This window comes from Homo sapiens, chromosome 7 (assembly GCF_000001405.40).
Source record: "Homo sapiens chromosome 7, GRCh38.p14 Primary Assembly".
Lineage (NCBI taxonomy): Eukaryota > Metazoa > Chordata > Mammalia > Primates > Hominidae > Homo > Homo sapiens.
This window is the reverse complement of record NC_000007.14, coordinates 30,738,029-30,746,279: the sequence shown is the minus strand read 5'-3', so window position 1 is coordinate 30,746,279 and position 8,251 is coordinate 30,738,029. Positions and strand designations below refer to the sequence as shown.

Here is an 8,251-nt window from a genome sequence, read left to right as displayed (position 1 = left end):
TACTTGTACTCATTTGTGTGTCTGTGGGCATGCATGTGTGCACATGCACGCGTGTGGGTGGGTGGGTTTGTGTGTGGTGTGTAGTAAATTCTTTGCAATTTTATCACATGTTCTGTTCATGAATGGCAACACTTTATAAATGGTTTGTCCAAACATATGGACCCTGGCTAAGTTTACTTCTGCACTAGTCAAAAAAAGAGATTAATTAAGCAAGTAAATAAAGTAAACAGAATTAAAGGCAGCAGAGAATAGTGAATCAAGTTAAGGACAAGCTGCTTATTTATTTATTTATTTATTCTTTTTTAGAGAGACGTGTGGTCTTGCTGTGTTGCCCAGGCTGGTCTCCTGGTCTCAAACTCCTGGGCTCAAGCAGTTCTCCCACCTCAGCCTCCAAAAGTGCTGGGATTGCAGGCATGAGCCACCATGCCCAGCCAGGACAAGCCTGTTTTCAAGAGCAAGCTCACTGACCTTCATCAGTGAAATCTTAGCCATCTTTAGATCCTGTTTCCTCCCCCAAGGGGCCTTTCCACTCTGATTCTTGTTTTCCCACCAAACTCCAAGAGTGAAACATCCTTGAAATATTGCAGACCCTTGATCTCTCTTTGCCTCTGTCTTTGTCTCCGTTTGTCTCTTTGCCTGTCTGTCTCTCTCATTCTGTGTCTGTGTCCCTCTGTGTAAGTCTCTCCCTCCCTGCCTCCAGCAGCCCCTACACTCAAAACACCATGTCGAAGCAGGAACCCGTGAGACCTGGCCCTGGTGATCCTGTTGCGTTCTTATGATTTTGGTAATGTATCAAGCAGATAAACTCCAGCCAGAAAAGCTCACACTGTGTCTCTGGCTTCATCTGTGAGGAATCTGAGCACCTCCCTGAGAGGCAGGCGCTGGTTCCAGGAGGCTGTGAAACTCCTGGTGGGAAAGGCTGGAAGGGCAGGGGTGTACCTACCATGACTGAAGAGTGGGAAGGCACCGAGGGGTCCTCAGCCAGTTGGAGGGCAACCTGTATACAGGAGGAAAAGACTGTGAGAAAGAGCTCCACCCCCGGGACTACTTACTGACCTACTACGCCTTCGACTCAGCACTGTGACCAAAAATGAAATCCTGAAATCTAACCTGGAAACCCTCTTTCAAAGCTTCTCTTCAGGTGAATGGCTGGTCTCCACTTTGGGGGCAGTACAGGGTTACAGCTGACAGCAAGACCTGCAGGTTGGAGGCAAGCGGCCCCATCCTCTGGCCACTGCTCACCAAAGATGCTGCAAAGTCAGCCCAGTCAAGCTCTATGAACCCATGAGGGCCTCTGCCAGGTGGCAGCTCAATGGGGTCTGAGCACGGGCCGTGGAGGCCAAGGAGCTGGGCATGAGTCTCTGCCAGTGGGCCTCAGTTTCTTCACCTATAAAATGGGAGAAGCTTGGGGCTCACAGGCTCATGCTGAGGGAAAATTAGAGAACAGACATAATGAACACACTGCCGGCTGTCTCTCTGTCTCTGCCAGCCTCCCCTGCAGACAGTCCATAAAGCCAGGCTTTGTAGCCTTTCTGGGCTCTTGAATCCCTCTGAAAATCTGATGAAAGTTCTGATACACACACACACACAAACACACACAAATTTTCTACACAAAACTGACAGAGTTCATGGATATCCAAAGGCAAACCACATAGCTTAGTTTACAAATCCCTGCCCTCGGGTATCAGAATGGGGTGAGCCAGTAGAGACTATCACCAAGTCCTTCAGTGCACACAAGGGGAGACTGAGGCTCAGGTAAGAGAGCAGGGAGAGAGGAGGCCAGCCCAGGTAAGGTCAAACAGCCAGTCAGTAGTAATAGCAAGAACTACAGCTCAGATGATTTAGGGCCGCCATGCACAGTTGGGCAGGGTGTGCACTGCAAACTGTAGGAGTTGCCAGAGCGAGGTGGGGCACTGTGGGTGGTGGGATGGTGGGAAAGGGCCTCTCCGAGGAGCACTCCAAGTGGTGTCCCAGCGAAGGAAGGGAGAAAAGGCATAAAGACCCGAGGAAAGGGAGTGTCAGGCAGCATGAGCAGCAAGGGCAAAGGCCCAGTGGTGGCGGGGAGCCGCCCGTGTGTCGAGGACAGTGAAAAGGGTGCTGTGCGAGGGGTGGAGTGAGGAGGAGAGTTAGGTGTCAGGGAGGCGGAGACCACATCCTGTGGGGCCTTGAGGGCCACGGTAAGGAGGGAGGATGGTGCCGTGGATCTCCCAGGCACTGGAGAAGAGAATGGCATGATAGCCTCTACATTTCTTAAAGAACTGTTCATCATGCTAGGCCTTGGGAGGCGAGGGCAGCATTGGGCAGAGCAGCAGCAGGTGCTGGCATCCTCCAGGGAAGAGCCAACAGCAGGAGGCCTGCAGGGGCTGGAGGTGGCTGGAGTTTGGAATCACTCTGCAGGCGGAGCCAACAGGATTTGCTGATGGTTTGGATGTAAGAGAGAGAGAAGAGTCAAGGGCAACTCCAAGGTTTTTGGCCACAGCCACAAGAAGGATGGAGTTGCCAGTATTAGGAGGGAAATGACAAGGAAGGAGCAGGTATGGCAGCAGATGTTGACTTCTCAGCCTGGGCAATGTGTTGGAGTCACCTGCCTGACACTGAAGTGGAGATACCCACGGAGGAGCCCCTGGTTGTGCATGTCTGGGCCTCCCAGAGACTCCAGGGCTGGAGCCTGACCTGGGAGTCATCCGTGGACGGCTGAGGCCATCAAGTGGCTAAGTGTGGATGGGGAGGAGATGCTGTGTTCTAAGGCTAGGGAGTGGAGGAGGGTGTTCAGGGAGACAGAAAAAGGGAGAACCACGAGGGTGAAGTGCCTCAAGAAGCCAAGTAAAGAGTGTGTTTCAAGAAGCAGGGAGTTCCGGCATGGCTGAACCTAAAGATGTTACGCTAAGTGAAATGAACCAAACAGGGAAGGACAAATACTGTAGGCTCCCCATACATGAAACGTCTAGAATAGGCAAATCCAGAAACAGAAAGTAGATTGGAGGTTACCAGGGGCTGCCAGGAGGGAGAATGGGGAATGGGGAGTTACTGTTTAATGAGTACAGGGTTTACATATGGAATGATGCAAAAATGTTGGAAAGACAGTTGGTGACGGGCGCACAACTGTGTGAGCGCAATTAATGTCACGGAACCATACACTTTGATCAAAATGGCCAATTTTGTAATATAGTTTACTACTTAATGAAATTAATAATGTAATATACCAAAAACTATTCAATTGTTTAAAAGAAAGAGGCGCAGGAGGAGGGGAAGGGGAGTTATCGAATCCACTGTCACCTACAGCTGTGTAGACGTGAGCAAGTCTATGCCTCAGTTTCTTCATCTGTATAATGAGGAAAATAATAATCTCGCTCAAAGAGTTGCTGAACAGGATAAGTCACAGGCTTTGCCCAGAGGGTGGTGGTGAGGGCTGAGGGGCTGCTATCACAATCATTATGTCATCTCTGTGACCCTCCTCCATAGAAGCAGGTGGCATGAGAAGGAGAACCAGCTTTGCTGGACAGTCACGTGGTTGCTGAAGTGCGATATGACCAAGCTGCATCCACTGGGGTCAATCCAGGTGTCCCCTGAAGAGTGCCTGTCCTGATGTGGACATGTACTGGGCAGCCCTGCAGAGGCTGGCCAGCCTGCTGAAAGCAGATGGGAACCTGGTCACCATGGCTGCCCTGCACTCCCACTATATGGTAGGCTCCAAGAAGTTCTTTGGGCTCCACCCAGAGAAGGAGACGGTGGAGAAGGCCATGCAGGAGGCTGGCTGCCAGGTGCAGAGGTGTGCCCCATCAGCTGCTCTGAGACATGCTCCATCAACGACGGCATCTGCTTTGTGGCTGCCTGCAAGGGCCCCAGTGTCTGAGGCCAGCCTGGCAGAAGAGGGCCTGACCGAGAGGGGAAGTCATGACCAGAGCATCTACAGTCTTGCCCCACAGCTCCCCCTAAAAGCAGGTCAGGTCTCAGCCCTACCTCTTCATTCCTGTTACCTGGTCCCAAGGTCACAAGTGAAAAGCAAGGGTTCCCCCAGCACCCCGCCTAGGGGTCTGTCCCTTACACTACCCCATACCAAAGATCATGAACAAAAAGTGACTTAGCTGGATACTATCTTTGTTTGGATTCCCATAGAAGCAGACTCTAAGACAAGGATTTCAGTGCTGATAGTTGATTTGGAGGGAGATCCCAGGAAACATCAATTAGGACGTGGGAAGGAAAGCAGAGCAGGCAGCCAAACAGGGTGTCATCAAACCCTTACCGCTGTGGGCAATTGGAACGCCGTTGTGCTGGGGGCTCTGGGGCCAGCGTAGAGCACATGGCTCGGAGTTATCCCACCCCGGGAGCTGCAACACTTGCCCACCGACTCCTGTCATCATGACAGAGGGCTGCTCCTGAGGGGCGTTAATTCCCCAGCATGTCCAACTCACCTGTATTTGGACAGTGCAGCCCAAGAGAGAAGCCTCGAGTGAAGACTCACAGGTGCTGGCTGTGGGAAGTTCAGCCAGCATGCTGAGGGAATGGGAAGAGGCAGCAAGAGCATCTGCAACAGACATGAAATGTCCTGTTGGCTGGGGTGTGGGACAGGTCCTGGGGAGGCTGGTTTTTCCACCAGAGGAACAGGATCTCAGGTTCTTAAAGTGGAAAGGCACCTGTGAGAGCTAGAAGACCTCTAGGCCAAGCTCCTGTTCCTGCAGGTGGGGAAGCCGAGGTCTGGGAGGGGAGGGGACTGGCCCCACCCAGAGTGCTAAGTGGTCAGTGGCAGGGGCAGCATTGGAGCCTGGGCTCTGTCCAGGTTACGACGGATCTGGTGGTGATGGAGCCTCAGGAAATGGTCGGCTGAGGCTGACCAGCAGGGCAGAGCCGGGACTCAGGCTGTCCATCCATATGGTCGAGAACCTGGGGCCTCTGACCTCTGGGAAGGCCTGGGGCCACGTCCCTAGAAGGACCTTCACAAGGTCGTACATCTCTTCTTACTCAAACAGCCAGCTCAGTTCCAGCCAGCTCTTAGCACTGGGTTTCCTCATTTTCCCTGGGATGTAGGAAGGGCATCAGCATTTCTCCAACCAGGCCAGGCCTACATGAAGCCCCCAACTACTTTCCAAAATGTGGCATGACCCCTCACAGGTCTTTCAACTCCCAGTGTCCCCAACCCCAGTCCGTTCTCCCCAGAGAAACCTTCCAAAGCCGGTGCAGGCCAGGCTGTATCCTGCTTTACACCATGCCCCGCGGGGATAAGGGCCCAGCCCAGCAACAGTGCATGAGGCCCTGCACACCCTGGCTGCTGCCTCAGGGCCGGTACACACCAAGAGGGCTCCCGGAACCAGTCCAGCAACCTCCTACCTGCAAGTCCTTGCAACACAGAACTCCTCCCCTCCTCTCTAGCCCATGCCCCACCTCTGAACAGACTCCAGCAAGTGGTACAGGAAAGAGCTGTGATGGGGAGAAGGGTTGAGCCAGCACCCCAGGCACATTTGCCATCCTGCTGCTGAAGCTCAGTGCTTTTCAAACTGCCTCCATCATGTTTTTGGGGTCCCTGAGCCTTATATCAGAGGACAATGACGAGTCTTCGTCCATCCACCATAAGCAACAGACTTTCATCCCTGGGTCCTGGATCTGCTGGAGACGGGGGCAATGCCAGGTGGCAATGGCTTCCATGGCCACCAGAGGGCAGTGCAGGGCAGGAAGCAGCAGGCGGAGGCTGGAAAGGAGATTCTGTGTGGATCCTCCTTGGGAGAGAAAGGTCCATTTCCTGCCACCTTTTGATTCATGGAGGTTCTGCCAGGCCTAACCAGGCAGAGGAACCATGAGCCGGCCCACCGGGAGGAACCTGGAACCCTTTCGACAGGCAGGGCCGCTAAGAAGCTTGGACCCACCTGGCTCGTGGTCCTGGACACTGTATTTCAGCTGGGGACCAGGAGGCAAGGTTTTCCAAACTAATGTGCCTGTGCATCACCTGGAGATCTTGCTAAACTTTGAATTCTGATCCGGTACATCTGAGCCAGTAGGGCTGAGATTCTGTATTCCCAACAAGCTCCCAAGTGACGCTGACATTGCTGGTCCAGGGACCACGCTTTGAGTAGCAAGGAATAATAGAAAGGAATGCATCTTAAAATCTGAATTTTCCCTGAAATAATGAGGTTCCTGGGCACATCCTAGAGTTGGCACCTAATTTCTCCAGCTTTTCTCTCCAGGTGAGAGAGGGAGGAAGACCTACCTGGGCACTCTACCCAGAAAATATCCCCACTCCTTCTCTTACCCTGGCGTGGTGGGCTTTCTTCCCTTTGGTCTTTGAAGGTCTTCCCTGCCAGCTAGAACTTCCCAGGGCAAGGACTAAGGATGCCCTCTCAGATTCTTCACCTTGGCAGTTCCCTGTCTTGGCCTGGCAGGCAGTAGGGGCCTGGTGGGGGGGCTTGCAGCTGCTTGTGTGAAGAACCAGCTGGCTCTTTACGGCTGAGTTTTCTAGGACTGCCCAGAACCCTCCCACATTGCCTGCCCTCCTCCAGGCTCCCACCAGGCACATGGGAATGGGGATGGGGGTAGTTAGAGGGGTTGCAGGTTTCCAACTTGAGGCCCAAAGATGCAAAGTTACTTCTACAATGTCATTCACCTTCAATATCGCCAGCTGTAGTCAGTCAAAGGTTGGGTGGTGCCAGGGCAGGGGTTTTCACCCTGGATATGCATTAGACTTACCTAGGCAGCTGTAAAAGTCCTGAATCCTTGGCCTTACCCCAGACCAATTAGATCAGAAATTCTTGGAGATGCCACCCAGGCATCAGCACCTTGTAAAGCTCCCCTGGTGATTCAAATGTATGGAAGATTGAGAACTGCTGGCCTGGGCTGGTGCTTCTCAAACTGTACTGAGCTCACGAATTACTTGGGAGTCTGTCAAAATGCAGATTCTGAATCTGCAGATCTGAGGGGGGCAAATAATTTGCATTTCTGAAATGTCCCTAGGGATGCTGATGTTGCTGATCCAAGACCCATTCTGGGTACCAAGGGAACAGAGCACAAAGTACTTCCTTTCCACCTACCCCCAGCCCAGGCTTCACACTGTTAGTAAAGCAGGACTGTATGATAAGGTGTCTGAGTGTAGACCGATGATCCCTGATGTCCTAGATCCTTCAGGGCCTAGGCTCCTGAATGATTCGAAAAGGTCTTCTGAACCATGACGGAGCCATCTGTGCTGCCTCTATTGATATGTCATTGGGAGCATCCAAGAATCACTCACTCCTTCTAGAAGTTCATCTATAGAGCAGCTCTGTATTTCAGACCTACTTGCTGTCCTCTCCCCACCACTACAGTATCCAGCTGCCTCTACTGGCCTAGCCCGAGGACCCTCAAACTGAGCAGGTCCAAAGGCACACTGCCCATCTCCTGGTCCCCCAGCCTTGCTTCTCCTCCCCTCTCCCCAGCCCAGCAAGGACACTCCTGTGCAACCCTTATCCATGCCAGACACATGACTGCCACCCTAGCCTCTTCCTCTGTCACCGTTGGTCTGCACCACCAGCTTCCCCAGGCCTTGACATTACCTCCTAAACAGCTCTCAAATCCACCTAGTGGCCCTCATCGCCCCGCCACTGCCCTGATTCTGGTTCTATTATCTCGCCTCAGCACCTACCCCACCTCCAGGTTCTTGCTGTGTAAAGGGTGGTCCAAGGAGCAGCAGCAGCAGCATCACCAGGGAACTTATTAGAAATGCAGCATCTCGGGTCCCAGCCCAGACCTGCTGAATCTGATCTGCATTTTAACAAGCTCTCCAGGTGATTCATACATACATTAAAGTCTGAGAAGCACTGATCTAGAAATAGAGAGATGATGACAGGAAACAAGAAGGGAAAGAGAAAGCAGAAGAGAAGGGAGGTCCTTTTTAGCAGCCTCCATTCCTGGCTCCCTCCTCATATTCCACATCTCAGCTCAAAAGGTACCTATCCCTACTCTTACCACATAGAGTAGATGTTTCCCCCTCTCTTTCTCCATTCACTATCACATCACCCATTTATTTCCTTCATCTCACATGTTATTCTATTTTCTGTCTCTCAGTGACATAGAAATTCTGAGGCAGGAAACTGCTCTCCCTTGTTTGTGGTTGTGTCTAGTGCCTAGCACATGGTACATGTTGAATAAATAAATTGAATATGTGAAACTTATTATAGACTTCTGCTGCTGCAAACTTCACCTTTTGAACTAAGCAGTTTCTGAAGCCATCTAGTCCAATAGCTTTGTTTTATTCTTTATATCGCAAATGGGCCATGATGTAACAACTTGA

At 52.0% G+C, this 8,251-nt stretch overlaps 1 long non-coding RNA gene across 1 annotated transcript in view; it reads right to left on the bottom strand.

The window, feature by feature from the left end:
• Nucleotides 1-381: 381 nt before the first annotated feature.
• LOC105375220 (uncharacterized) overlaps nt 382-8,251 on the bottom strand; it is a 48,157-nt gene continuing 40,287 nt past the window's right edge. The window contains exons 2-3 of the long non-coding RNA XR_001745154.2: nt 4,413-4,525; nt 382-997 (exon numbers count right to left, since the gene is read on the bottom strand). This is a non-coding gene — a long non-coding RNA (uncharacterized LOC105375220). The remainder of the gene's footprint in view (nt 998-4,412; nt 4,526-8,251) is intronic.